The sequence below is a fragment of the Homo sapiens genome, chromosome 12 (genome assembly GCF_000001405.40).
Source record: "Homo sapiens chromosome 12, GRCh38.p14 Primary Assembly".
NCBI classification, from domain to species: domain Eukaryota; kingdom Metazoa; phylum Chordata; class Mammalia; order Primates; family Hominidae; genus Homo; species Homo sapiens.
Genome location: NC_000012.12, coordinates 101,525,766 through 101,539,446, shown reverse-complemented (window position 1 = coordinate 101,539,446; position 13,681 = coordinate 101,525,766). Strand labels below are relative to the sequence as shown.

Genomic DNA, 13,681 nt, shown 5'->3' with positions numbered 1-13,681 from the left:
TTTTAAATGATCTTCCAATTTTCAGCCTCATCTCCTCATGCTTCCCCAGATAACTGATAGTGTTATGCAATTCTTCTTGGCTTTCCCTGCTTCTGGCATGGGCTTCTGTTTTCTCAGATCTGCTAAAGCCGGTTAGTAATTACCAATGTACATTCAAACTTCCAAAGTGTTGTGGGTGAAGTCTTATCATCCGTTCTCTTTGTCCTTGTTTGGGTTTGTAACTGTTCTTTAACCCTTTTACTGGCTTTTTAATGGGGTATTTAGGAGACCGTGGAGAATATTGCATATATTTCATCTGCTATCTTTATCTAGAACAGATTGATATTCATAGGGAAATACTGTATTCCAAAAGGAAGATGGAAGCATGCCCTTCATTCATTCAAATACTTATTAAATAAATACCATGGGCCAGGCACTGTGCTGGCCCTAAGGGGCACATCACTGAAAATGGCATAGTTCTGTTCTCAAAATGTTTATGATCTCTTCCTCTGAAAGGAAAAGACAGTAGCAAGAATTACAATGGAGGAGCCAAGAAGTAGACACAATTGAGCCTCCTATAGTTTGAGGCTGAATGTTCTTTCTCAGCAGCGATCTCAAGGACAAAGCCCATGGTTGACTCGTGTCTGTAACCCTCACGTCTGACACATGGTAGAATCTTGATCTGGATTAGATTTGAGTCTCTGATATGACCTTTGTTACACTTAGAATGAGTATGAACCAGTGAGATTTCACACATGTTGCCGTTTTGAGCAAGACCTTTAAGGGTTTGAACTAGATATTGTACGTGATTCAAAAGCTAAAGAGAAATCGTTGATGTCACATTGTGCATGTATTAGTGGAGAATATGTGTCTCTGGTCTGAACCTTAACATCACTGCTTACACCACATTTTTTCTTGGATATCTTTGAGGCATCTCAAATTCCACAAGCCGAAAATTGAACACATAGTCTTTTCTCTCAAATCTTGTTTTCTCTGTGCTCTGTGTCTTGAAGAAGGGCACAGGCATCCATCCAGCTATACAGCTGAAAACTCTGGGAATTATTCTCGACATCTCCCTCTCCCTTACCTTCTATATCCAGTCATTACCAAGTCCAGTTCTGACCTTCTAAGTATCTTTCAAATTTGTCTACTTGTCCTCATATTTAATATCACCTCTTGCCTGGACTATAGCAAATAGGATTCTTGTCTCCCTGCATGTTCTCTTTAGCTCCTCTAACAATTTTTTTTCACATTATATTTAGTTGTCTTTTTTTTTTTTTTTTTTTAGACGGACTCTTGCTCTATCACCAGGCTGGAGCACAGTGACGCAATCTCGGCTCACTGCAACTTCCGCCTCCTGGGTTCAAGCAATTCTCCTGCCTCAGCCTCCTGAGTAGCTGGGATTACAGGTGGGTGCCACCACACCCAGCTAATTTTTGTATTTTCAGTAGAGGGGGCATTTTGCCATATTGGCCAGGCTGGTCTCGAACTCCCAACCTCAGGTGATCCACCTGCCTTGGCCTCCCAAAGTGCTGGGATTACAGGTATGGGCCACTGTGCCCAGCCAGTTGTCTTTTCTAAGGCAAATCTAATTATGTATTTTGCCTTTGCCTCCTACCTAGAACTGAGACTCACGGCCTTAAACATGTAAGAGCTTCACTTCCTTGTCTGGAAGAGTTGGTCTCTTCTGAAGTTCACCTCTAAGCTGCGGTCCAACTTATCTGTTGTCTGCCCTCCCAAACGTCAAGACAGAAATCCTGAGACAGAGGCTCAGAATTGGTTGGATAACTGGAGAAGGGTAGCCGAAGGGAAGACCAGAGACAGGGGTTACATGGCTATAGTGTCAGGTTGCACTTGATAGGGAATAAAAGGCACGTGAAGCCCTTTGCCTAGTCTCTCTATCTCTTGATGCACTGACATTTTTATTTAATCACCATTATAAGGAATCAAAGTGTGGTTTAACCCAGCAAAGAAAAGCATCCTGAAGTGTTGGAGACCCAGTAACAGCTTCCCAGTGTTCTCCATGTAAATATAAATTCTTTAATAGCTGTCAAGAGCCTGCTATCTCTGGTCCTACTGTTTCTCCAGTCAAACCTCAGCTCTGTCCTTACTCTCTGTGTAAGGCCCACTGCCCTCTTTCCATCTCACCACACTCCTGCCACACCAGGATTTCTGTTCATGCTGTTTCCTCACCTAGGATGCATTTCCCTCCCTCTCCACCCGGTTAACTCTGCCTATCCTTCAGCTGTCAGCCTCATCAGCACTTCTTTAGGGGAAAACATCACTGACCAAATCAAATTTCCTCCTCATAGACAATCTGAGCAACCTTTCCTCTTCTTAATAGCAATGATACCAGTTGGCAAGTTTATTTGTGTGATTATTCAATTAACGTCTTTCTCCTCGACTGGACAGTAAGCTCACAATTTACATATCACGGTGCTTAGGCCCTCAAATATATCCTGTGATTTTTATTTTTATTCACTTATTTATTTTTTGAGACAGGGTCCCACTCTTTCACCCAGGCTAGAGTGTAGTGGCGCGATCTTGGCTCACTGCAACCTCCACCTCCCAGGTTCAAGTGATTCTCCCACCTCAACCTCCTGAGTAGCTGGGAGGCGCGTGCCACCAGCACGGCTAATTTTTGTACTTTTTGTAAAGACAGGGTTTCACCATGTTGGTCAGGCTGGTCTTGAACTCCTGGCCTCAAGTGACCCACTCACCTCAGCCTCTCAAAGTTATCCTGTGATATTAATATGGATTTGTGGCTGGAAGCCATAGTTTTGAGAAGACAAGTACTATCTTCTTACCCTGGTAAAGTAGGGTTTAAATCTCTTGAGAGATCACCAAAAAACAAGCTGGGAAAATTCTATAGCTGTGAACCTAATTTTACATCCTAATAAAAATATGATACTGCTTATTTTCAAAATTCAGTAAGAGTCTATTTGCAGACTTAATGGTGTAAAGAAGTTTGTCAGATTACAGGTTGCCCAGCTGTGAAAGTACAGCTCAAGACCAAACTTTCCGTGTTAAGCTTTGAAGTGAGGTAGGAGTTTTGAAATGGCATATGATTTTCATCATCTTAAGATATCAGACATACGGTTCTAATTTAGAAACCCCAAAGTCAGACCTTACTGAGAGATTGCTTTGATCATTAGGAGGTGGTTAAACTTATATCTGATTACAGTAAGAGCTAACATTTATTGGACACCAACTCTGTGCCAGGCAATGTTTTAAGTGCTCTTTTAATCTCCATAACAATTCTAAATGAGGTTTGTACTATAACTTCTCCCAGTTTATAGACAAGGAAACTGAAGCACAGAGAGATTATGTAATTTTCCCAAGATTATACACTTAGGTCTTCTATGTGTATACTAGCCCATGGGGCTGTTGGGCACTTGAAATGTGGCCCAGCCAGAATTAAGATGTGCTCTGAGTATAAAATACATACTAGATTTTGAAGACTTAGTATGAAATGCTATATAAAAATCTCAATAATTTTTTCTATTGATTGTGTGTTGAAATGATAATATTTTGAATACACAGGGTTAGGTAAGACATTATTAAAATTAATTTTTCTTTCTTTCTTTCCTTTTTTTTTTTTTTTTTTGAGACAGGGTTTCACTTTGTCACCCAGGCTGGAGTACAGTGGTGCGATCTGGGCTCACTGCAGCCTCAACCTCCTAGGCTCAAGCAATCCTTCCACCTCAGCTTTCCCAGTACCTGGGACCACAGGCATGCAACACCACGCCTTGTTAATTTTTGTTTTTTTTTTTTTGTTTATGTTTTTAGTAGAGAACAAATTTTGCTATGTTGCCCAGGCAGGTCTCGAACTCTAGAGCTCAAGCAAGCTGCCGGCCTCGGCCTCCCAAAGTGCTGGGATTACAGGTGTGAGCCACCATGCCCAACCAACATTACTAAAATTAATTTAATCTATTCTTTTTCTTTTTTTAATATGGCTACTAGAAAATTTGCAATGATATTCATGGCTTTCATTCTGTTTCTGTTGGACAGTGCCGATCCACAATCTCACACTACATTATACTGTCTCTCCATCTGGTAGCAAAGCCCTTTGTGGCTAATGGCTGCATTTTGCATAAGGCTGTCGGTAAGGTGAATAATGCATTGAAGAATGTGGAATGAAAAACAAGAAGAGAAGCAGAGATGTCATCCAAAAGTATCAGCATTAAAATCCTAAAGCAGGGAGACAAGTTAGCTATTGTCTTCATCACCTACAGCTCCGTGGAGCTATTCATTGTATGCAATGCCTCCTCATGTCTAGACTCTGTCCTGGCTAGGGCTTTGATAGGCAGATACCAACAACAAATCAACACCTTCTTTGTTCCCTTCTAGACAACAGAAGAAAAACCATGCCTCTTGATGACTTACCTTTGTGTCTATTAATATAACACCTCCCTCTACCCAGCAGTTGTATTCATTCATGGATTTATTCTCTCCCTGCCAGTTTTATTGAGGTAGAATTAACAGATAAAACTTGTGTATACTTACAGTGTACAATGAGATACTTTGATACACATATACATTGTGAAGTGATTATCACAGTGAAGCTAAGTAACCTATCCATTACCTCATATACCTACCTTTTTTAATGTGTGATGAGAACACTTAAGATCTACTCTCTCAGAACATTTCAAGGATACAATACATTGTTATGAACTATAGTTACCATGCTGTACATTAGATCTCCAGAACTTATTCATCCTATAAATGAAAATTTGTATCCTTTGACCAAAATCCCACATTTCTCCAACACCCCCAGCCCTTGGGAACCTCCTTTGGTACTTCCTGATTTTATGAGTTCAACCTCTTTAGTTTCCACATATAAGTGAGATCATGCAGTATTTGACTTTCTGTGTCTGGCTTATTTCACTTAGCAAATGTCCTCCAGTTTCTTCTATGTTGCTTCAAATAACAGGATTTTCTTATTTTTTACGGCTGAACAGTATTCCATTGTATATGTATACATTCCACCTTTTCTTTATTTCTTCATTCATCAGTGGACACTTAGGTTGTTTTCATGTCTTGGCTATTGTGAATAATGCCTTAATGAACAGGGAGTGTGGATATCAATTCGAAATACTGATTTCAATTTATTTGGATAAACACTCAGAAGTAGAATTGCTGATCATATGGGAATTCTATTTTTAGTTTTATGGGCAACCTCCACATTGTTTTTCATAATGGCCACACCAATTTACAATCCCACCAACAGTGTACAAGAGTTCCATTTTCTCCACACCCTCAATGAACACTTATCATTTGACTTTCTGATAATAGTCATTTTAACAGGTGTGAGGAGCTATGTCATTATGGTTTTGACTTGCATTTCCCCAGTGATTAGTGATGTTAAGCACCTTCGTATATGCCATTGGTTTATTCCCAAGTCAGACAGTATCCTCGTCCTTGATATTTTGAGGAATACAGTCTTCTCTTCCTTTTTGCAGATTCTATGGGACAAAGGATGTGGGGCTGTGGGAGAGAGGAGAAATGGGAGGAATTAGAAGTGAGAGACTCAGTGTGAAAAGGAGGAGGCCACGATGGTCGTGGCCCAGACATAGAAGGGGACCCACTGTCCTTTCGCTCTTTGTCCAGGGGCGACAATACCCATCACAGGATGAGCTTTGCTCCATCCCCACCCTCCAACCACCTCCATGATTCTCACTACTCTGAAGCTTCTTTCAAGATTTAAGTTTTAGTTGTTTTCATCAGAACCACCAAAGGGGCAGGGTAATTAGCCAGGTTAGTCTTGCAGGAATAGAAGATGATGCACTACAAACAATATGCGTTCTGTTAACTCCAGGAAACTTTCTTTTTAAGACCAAAATAAATGTTTCAGAGTCATAAGAAGAAACGGTGATGCCTGACAACTTGGTAAAACCTGAGACATGAACATTGAGTCCTGGACTCGGATTGTCTGGCTCTCAGGACAGGATACTCCAGAATTCACTCTGAGGCCTCCACTGGGCAGTCATTGGTCTGCTAAGAACATCACACCGTGGGATAAACTTCCTGAAGTCATAATTTAAACATTGAGTTTTCCTTTTACCCCAGCAAGGCCTTTATGTTGGCTCACAAAGCAATGTAATGACAATCTTGCTTAAAAAAAAACAAAAAGAAAAGGAAAATGCTCCCAGCATATAGGAAAGGGAAGAAACAATAAACACCTTACTGAACAATAACAAAATCATTAGCCTGATTTAGTTGTTAAATTTGTATATTTTCCTGAGTCTTTAAATATCATCTACTAGAATGTAAACACCATGATGGCAAAGGTTATTTGTTTGTTTTGGTCACTGCTGTATCACCATCACCTGGAAAAGTGTCTGGCCCGTAGCACCTACTAAAAAGATGTTTGTTGAATAAATAATGAGTGAACGCCCAGTCCCACTCATATAATTAGAAAGAAATGTCTCAAAATGTCAAAGAGGGTTATGATTGTTAGTGAATTGTATTTTTTCTTTATAATATTCTGCATTTACCAGTTTTAGGAATAACCATGAATAATTTGTAATTGGGACAAAATAGATATCACTTTAGAAAGGCATTTAGACAATAACTTCTTAAAGTATATTGGTGTGTTTAATTAACATACATAGTTCCTCCTTTTGACCACATATTTTAGAACATCTTTATATAACAGGCCAAATTAAAAGACGTTTGGTATGGAAGCTACTTTTTTTTTTTTTTTTTTTTTTTTTTTTTTTTTTTTTTGAGACAGAGCCTTTTTCTCTCACCCAGGCTGGAGTGCAATGGCACCATCTCGGCTAACTGCAACCTCCGTCTCCTGGGTTCAAGCATCCGGGTTATCCTGCCTCAACCTCCAGAGCAGATGGGATTACAGGCACCCACCACCATGCCCAGCTAATTTTTATAGTTTTAGTAGAGAGGGGGTTTCACCATGTTGGCCAGGCTGGTCTTGAACTCCTGACCTCAAGTGATCCACCTGCCTTGGCCTCCCAAAGTGCTGGGATTACAGGGGTGAGCCACTGCGCCTGACCTGGAAGCTGCATTTTAACTGAGCAAACATTTATGAGGACCTACCGTGTGATGAGCAGATGAGCACTACGGACATAGAAGGCTGAATGATAAAGTTCTCGTCCTTGAAGAAGATCACGGAAAAGAAAATCTGAAGAAGTGAAATATTGCTTTAAAAAAATCCTTGCAATTGTATTGGGTTTACCATATTACTTTAGTCATCACATTAAAATACATAGAGCATTTTTGAAGAAGTCAGTCAGGCAAGTGCTATTATTCCCATTTTACAGATGAGGCTATGCTGCTAAGAAACTGAGGTACTTGCTCAAGATCATATGGTTAGAAAGTGGTAGATCCGGGCCAGACGCGCGGTGGCTCACGTCTGTAATCCCAGCACTTTGGATGGCCAAGACGGGTGGATCACGAAGTCAGGAGTTCAAGACCAGCCTGGTCAAGAGGGTGAACCTGTCTCTACTAAAAATACGAAAATTAGCCAGACGTGGTGGTGCGTGCCTATAATCCCAGCTACTCAAGAGGCTGAGGTAGAGAATTGCTTGAACCCGGGAGGCGGAATTTGCAGTGAGCTGAGATCGCACCACTGCACTCCAGCCAGGGCTACAGAGCAAGACTCCGCCTCAAAAAAAAAAAAAAAAAAAAAAGAAAGAAAGTGGTAGACCCACACATTAGCCGGCCTTTACCCAGCATTATCAGCTTTTCAAAGCACTACCACAAGAAGGCTCTGCACACATATTGAGAAGGAACTCCAAGCAGACATCTGTGCTCTCCAATGACAGCCACTAGCCACATATGGATATTTAAATTGAAATTAATTAAAAAATATTAAATATTCAGGTTTTCAGTGGTGCCAGCGACATTTTAAATTCTCAATAGCCACTTGTAGCTAGTGGCTACCAGATTGAACAGCACAGAATAGAACATTTCCATAATTCCAGAAAATTCTATAAGCTAGCACTACTACTAATTCATTTTAATTGGCATGTATTAACAAATAACAATCAATGCTTATTAACGTGAGACTTCATTTAAACTTCGTAACAACCTCACGAGGAAGGCTGTATTATTATCTCCATTTTCAGACGAAAGAACTGAGGCCAGAAGGATTAAGCAACTTGCTCAAGATCACGTGTCTAGTGAGGAGGTATAGTTGGGATTTGAATTCAGTTAGTCTAGCACCAGAGTGGGTGACTTAACCACTGTGTCAGTCATTCTCCAAGTGTGGTGCCCCAGGCAGCAGTAGCAGCACCTGGAAACTTGTTTGAAATTCAAATGATCAGGCCCCACCAGACTGCTGAATCAGAAACTCATGGTGGGGGTGTCCAGCCATAGGTTTTAACCAGCCCCCTCACCCCCAGCCGACACTGATGCAAGCTCAGGTTTGACCACGGCACTTTTCTATGTTGCATCCCACTTTTTAAGCGTCTCTGACATGCCCAGTGCAATGCTAAGCCTTGACTATTGGAGTCTTTTAAACAGGAAATAATGTGTCCAAGGAATCTTTTTAACAGAATAAAAAGAATAATTATTAATTAACATGCACTGAGCACTTGCCCTACAGAAGAGTTGGGGGTCCATTTTTCACTGAAGTAGACTCAGAGCCATTATCTAATTTGCCCGTGGTCACCCGGCTCCTATGTGGTGGGCTAAGGAATGGGAAGCCAGGACCCAGACTCCACCGGCCCTCCTCTTCCCCACCAGGACAGTGGACAGTATTTGGTGGACCTGTTGAGTAAGAAGTAACACGTCCTGTCCCTAAATACAAATTCCTTTTTTAATCTACTGCTTGGAGTGTCCTCACTTCTATTCTCCTAAAGGAAACAGACTCTCCCTTTTTCCCCTCCAGGTAACATTCTATCGATTTTTAAAAAATAACTAGCCCAACAGAATAATAACTTTTCACCTCAAAAGATTTCTATCCTGGAGCATGCCAACCTGAGATTCAGAATTTTTTTTTTTCTTTCTTTTGAGGCAGAATCTCACTCATTCTGCTGCCCAGGCTGGAGTATAGTGGCGCAATCTCAGCTCATTGCAACCTCCGCCTCCCAGGTTCAAGTGGTTCTCCTGCCTCAGCCTTCCAAGTAGCTGGGATTACAGGCGCCCACCACCACCATGCCTGTTTAATTTTTGTATGTTTAGTAGAGACGAGGCTTCACCAGGCTTAGCCAGGCTGCTCTCGAACTCCTGACCTCAAGTTATTGGCCCGCCTCGGCCTCCCAAAGTGCTGGAATTACAGGTGTGAGCCATTGTGCCCGGCCAAGATTCAGAATTTCTATCATTGGAGGATTTCAGATAAGATCAGGCCCATTCTGGGTGATATGGCCATATACTTTCTGGAGGTTTTCAAACAGCAGACATCCCTCCATTTATTCTTCCATGTAACAGATCTTTATCGAATACCTACTATGTGACACACACAATCCTAGGCAACAAAGAAGCAGCAATGAATAAAAGACAAGGCTCCTCCCCTCACAGGGCTTATATTCTTAGTGTCTTATAAGAAACTATATTCTTATATTGTTTGTGGGAGAGACACACAATACATAAGCAAATACGTAAAAACAATAAATGCAGATTGTATAACACAGTAAGAAGGCTGCTGTCTTAGGGAGTAAATGATGATCATTAGGGAAGACCACTCTGCAGAGGTGATGTTTAGGCTGATGTATAAAGGATGAGAAGATGCCTGTCTTCTGAAGAGCCTAGGAGATGGCATTTCAGACAGGGACAATGGCATTTACAAAGGCCCTGAGGTGGGAAAGAACTTGGCCAGTTCTAGGAGCTGACAGGCTGTGGGACATAGAGGACAATGGATACAGGTGGGCTGAACTGATTCTGGAGAGGTAGGCAGAGGCCAGGTCATGCAAGGCCCCATGGCCAAGGTAAAATATTTGCATTTTATTGTGAATGAGGGTTTGTGCTTTAATAAAGGAGCAGCACGATCTGATCACAATCTTTTACAGTTTTGAAAGATCACTCTGGCTGTGAAATGGTTTGAGTCTAGAGTGATGCTAAGCACGGTGGCTCATGCCCGTAATCCCACCACTTTGGGAGGCTGAGGCAGGAGGATCACTTGATTCCAGGAGTTCAAGATGAGCCTGGGCAACATAGTGACACCCCTTGTCTAGAAAAAATTAAAAATTAGCCAGGCATGGTGGTGTGTGCCTGTGGTCCCAGTTACTCGGGAGGCTGAGGCAGGAGGATCACTTGAGCTCAGGGGGTTGAGGCTGCAGTGAGCTATAATCATGCCACTGCACTCCAGCCTGGGTGACAGAACAAGACCCTGTCCCCCCAACAACGACAACAAAAGAGTCAAGGGTGGAAGTAGGGAGATCAGTTAGGAGGCTGACTGGATGATGGCAATGGAGATGGAGGTAAGTAAATAAACACAAGAGACATTTTGGAGGAAGATGATAGTGTACTCAGTACCTGATTAATAGACGGTGGAGACAGATGTGGTGGTGCACACTTGGGGTCCCAGCTATTAGAGAGGCTGAAGCAGGAGGATTGCTTGAGCCCAGGAGTTTGAGGCTGTAGTGAGCTATGATCACATCCTGCACTCTAGCCTGGGCAACAGAGTAATACCCTGTCTCAAAAAAAAGGAGGGGTGGTCAGTGAATAACTATGTACTCAATGAATGAGATAGTTCTAGATCCCACCCCTGGACAGTGTCTTAGTCAACATGTCTCCTCAGTACTTAATACAGTGCCTATTTAATAACTATTTGTTGAACAAATAAATCCAGCATGAGGACTCTAAAATGGACTCAGTAAGAAGAGTGCTAAGATCTCTTCTCTTCTGGCAGCTCTAATTTACGGAGTACCTTTTGTAAGCCAATTATACATTCATCAATTTGTCCTCACAACAACCCTATGAAATGGGTACTATTATCATCCCCATTTTACAGCTGGGAAAACAAATTCACAAACATATATACTCAATACACTTACTCTGTAAGTGTGTATCCAGTGTCTTATGTGCAGGGTTCCACGAATAATAAGTGGTAGAGCTAGTTTTGAATCCAGGACAGTCTGATTTTGAAGCTCATGCACTTTCACTAGGTTTACTACCTCTAGTAATAATTAAAGAATTGAAAATTCTGCTGGGCCTGGTGGCAGATACCTGTAGTTCCAGGTATGCCAGAGGCTGAGGCGAGAGGATCACTTGAGCCCAGGTGTTTGAGACCAGCCTGGGCAACATAGCAAGACCCCCCACCTCTAAAAAAAAAAAAAGAGAGAGAGAGAGAGAAGAAAAGAAAAGAAAAATGTATAACCTTGCCAAACCTGCTCCATAATTTACAGATAACGGCATGTACAAAATGGGAGCTGGTTAGGCTGGGTTTAGATCACACCATAAGCCTGTACCCCTGACCTTTTATCCCCAACTCAGAATACTCCTATGCCTGACACCAGGATATCTTGCCACGGGTGGAGACAGGGAGCTGGCCGGCTCTGTGTGTCTGCATTCCCACTCGCTGTCCCAAAGGCCCAATCGCTTGCAGTTCCCCGACGTCGTGCCTTGATTGCTAAGTCTGGTCTGGCACAGGGGCAGAGGGACTCCAAGGCCTAGGAGCTGAGAACTCTTGCTGGTGGCTCAAGAGAGCCAGATAACACAAGCCAGACGCCGGCATGCTAAAAAGAGGGAGTGCTATTTTGAGAATCTGGTCAAGCGATGTTTCACAGTGGAAAAGTGGTGGCACTCTGCAGCAGGATGTGACCTGACATGAGTTACAGCTCAGGTGTCAGTGCTCTGGGTTTCTATTTTTATTGCTAAACTTGCAATTTGAACTCTAAAAGGGCCGGCCCCCTAGGAAAGAGGTAAAAGTTAATATGAAATTTGAAAACCTTACTGGCAAATGTCACAGATAAAGACTGGAGATTCAATCTGTTGAGTCCATCATAAGACGGCTACACAAATGAACACCATGCAGCTATAAAATGATGATACGAAGTGTTGCTTGTCAACAAGGAAATACATTCATATGAAATTTTTCCATGCAAAAAGACGGTTACAAAACAGTGTAAGTTATGGCATCATTTTATAAAGTATTTGCATGTGTTTATGTGTATAGAAAAAGGAGACCTAAAATGGTGGTTATTGAGTCTTTATATTTAGTCGATAAACTTTTTTTTCTTTTTTTTGAAACTGAGTCTCACTCTGTCACACAGGCTGGAGTGCAGTGGTGCGATCTTGGCTCACTGCAGCCTCCACCTCCAGAGTTCAAGCGATTCTCGTGCCTCAGCCACCCAAGTAGCTGGGATTACAGGCGTGTGCCACCATGCCCAACTAATTTTTGTATTTTTAGTAGAGATGGAGTTTCATCATGTTGACTAGGCTGGTCTTGAACTACTGGTCTCAAGTGATCCACCTACCTCGGCCTCCCAAAGTGCTGGGATTACAGGCAAGAGCCACTGCGTCTGGCCTATGAACTTTTTATAAATATAGATTATGTGGATATAACCAGAAAATAAAAGATGAAGCAATTTCCATTTTTAAGGAAAAGATACGGTGATCAAGGGATCCAAGACAAGCGATTAAGGGAAATCCTCTAGGGTGAGGTTTGGGTAAGAAAGCACCCACATCCTTAGCTCAAGCTTTGTTTCTGCTATTCTCATAAAACAAAGTGTTCTGTTTCTAAAATTGTCCTCAATTTGTTTATATAATGTTGATTTGATGTGATTTGCAGATTAGATGTATAGATTTGTATTCAAACAACATCTAAAAAGTCAATGAAGGTAAAAAGAAGCTGTAAAAATTAATCAGGCATCATGTCCAAAAGTTTACAGTCAGTGCACAGGGACTAATTAACGTTGAATGCTTTGGCCAGAGCCAAGACAACTATTTATGTAGGGCTAACAGACATCTACTAAAGGCAGAGAGCCCTGGGAGAGGAGAGATGAAGTCTGCAAGGCAGGACATCAAAGAGCTTCCAGCACTGTGACTATGAGAGTTGAAAAAGAACACATTGAATAGGGGAAATAGAAAGTTCACCTCACCATGTGACAGCGCAGAACTCACCTGTCCTCTTCAGTCTTCAGCTCTCCAATTTAGAGAGACGGTTTTCACTCTCAATTTTCTTCTTGAGTAGATATTCTCCTAAACCTTGATTCATTTAAATGGCATAATATTTTGAGTAAATATTTAACCTAAAAGAGGTGTTGTCATTTTCATTAACAGTTTGGAAGATATGAAATATATTAAATATGATGCAATTATGATACAGAGCACAAAGTTCTATGTGGGTGTGTTATGGATTGAATTATGTTTCTGCAAAATTCATATATTGAAGTCTTAACCCCTAATATCTCAGAGTGTGGACTTTTCCTTTTCTTTTTTTTTTCTTTTTAGACAGAGTTTTGCTCTTGTCGCCTGTGCTGGAGGGCAGTGGAGCAATCTTGGTTCACTGCAACTTCCACCTCCCAAGTTCAAGCAATTCTCCTGCCTTAGCAATCCAGTAGCTGGGATTACAGGCACCCGCCACCACGCCCGGCTAATTTTTGTATTTTTATTTTTAAAAAATTTTTTGAGATGGAGTTTTGCTCTTGTTGCCCAGGCTGGAGCGAAGTGGCATGATCTCGGCTCACTGCAACCTCTGCCTACTAGGTTCAAGTGATTCTCTTGCCCCACCCTCCCTGTAGCTGGGATTACAGGCACCCACCACCACACCCAGCTAATTTTTGTATTTTTAGTAGAG

At 41.7% G+C, this 13,681-nt stretch overlaps 1 long non-coding RNA gene across 2 annotated transcripts; it reads right to left on the bottom strand.

Moving 5' to 3' along the window:
- Positions 1–5,166: 5,166 nt before the first annotated feature.
- Positions 5,167–13,077, bottom strand: LOC105369935 (uncharacterized). Of its 2 annotated transcripts, none has more exons than XR_945261.2 (3): positions 13,006–13,077; positions 7,039–7,123; positions 5,167–5,466 (listed from the first exon to the last, which is right to left on the bottom strand). It is a non-coding gene; the product is annotated as an uncharacterized LOC105369935 (long non-coding RNA). The 2 variants fall into 2 exon arrangements; XR_945260.2 differs by lacking the exon at positions 13,006–13,077 and adding an exon at positions 10,417–10,504.
- Between the last annotated feature and the right edge of the window lie 604 nt (positions 13,078–13,681).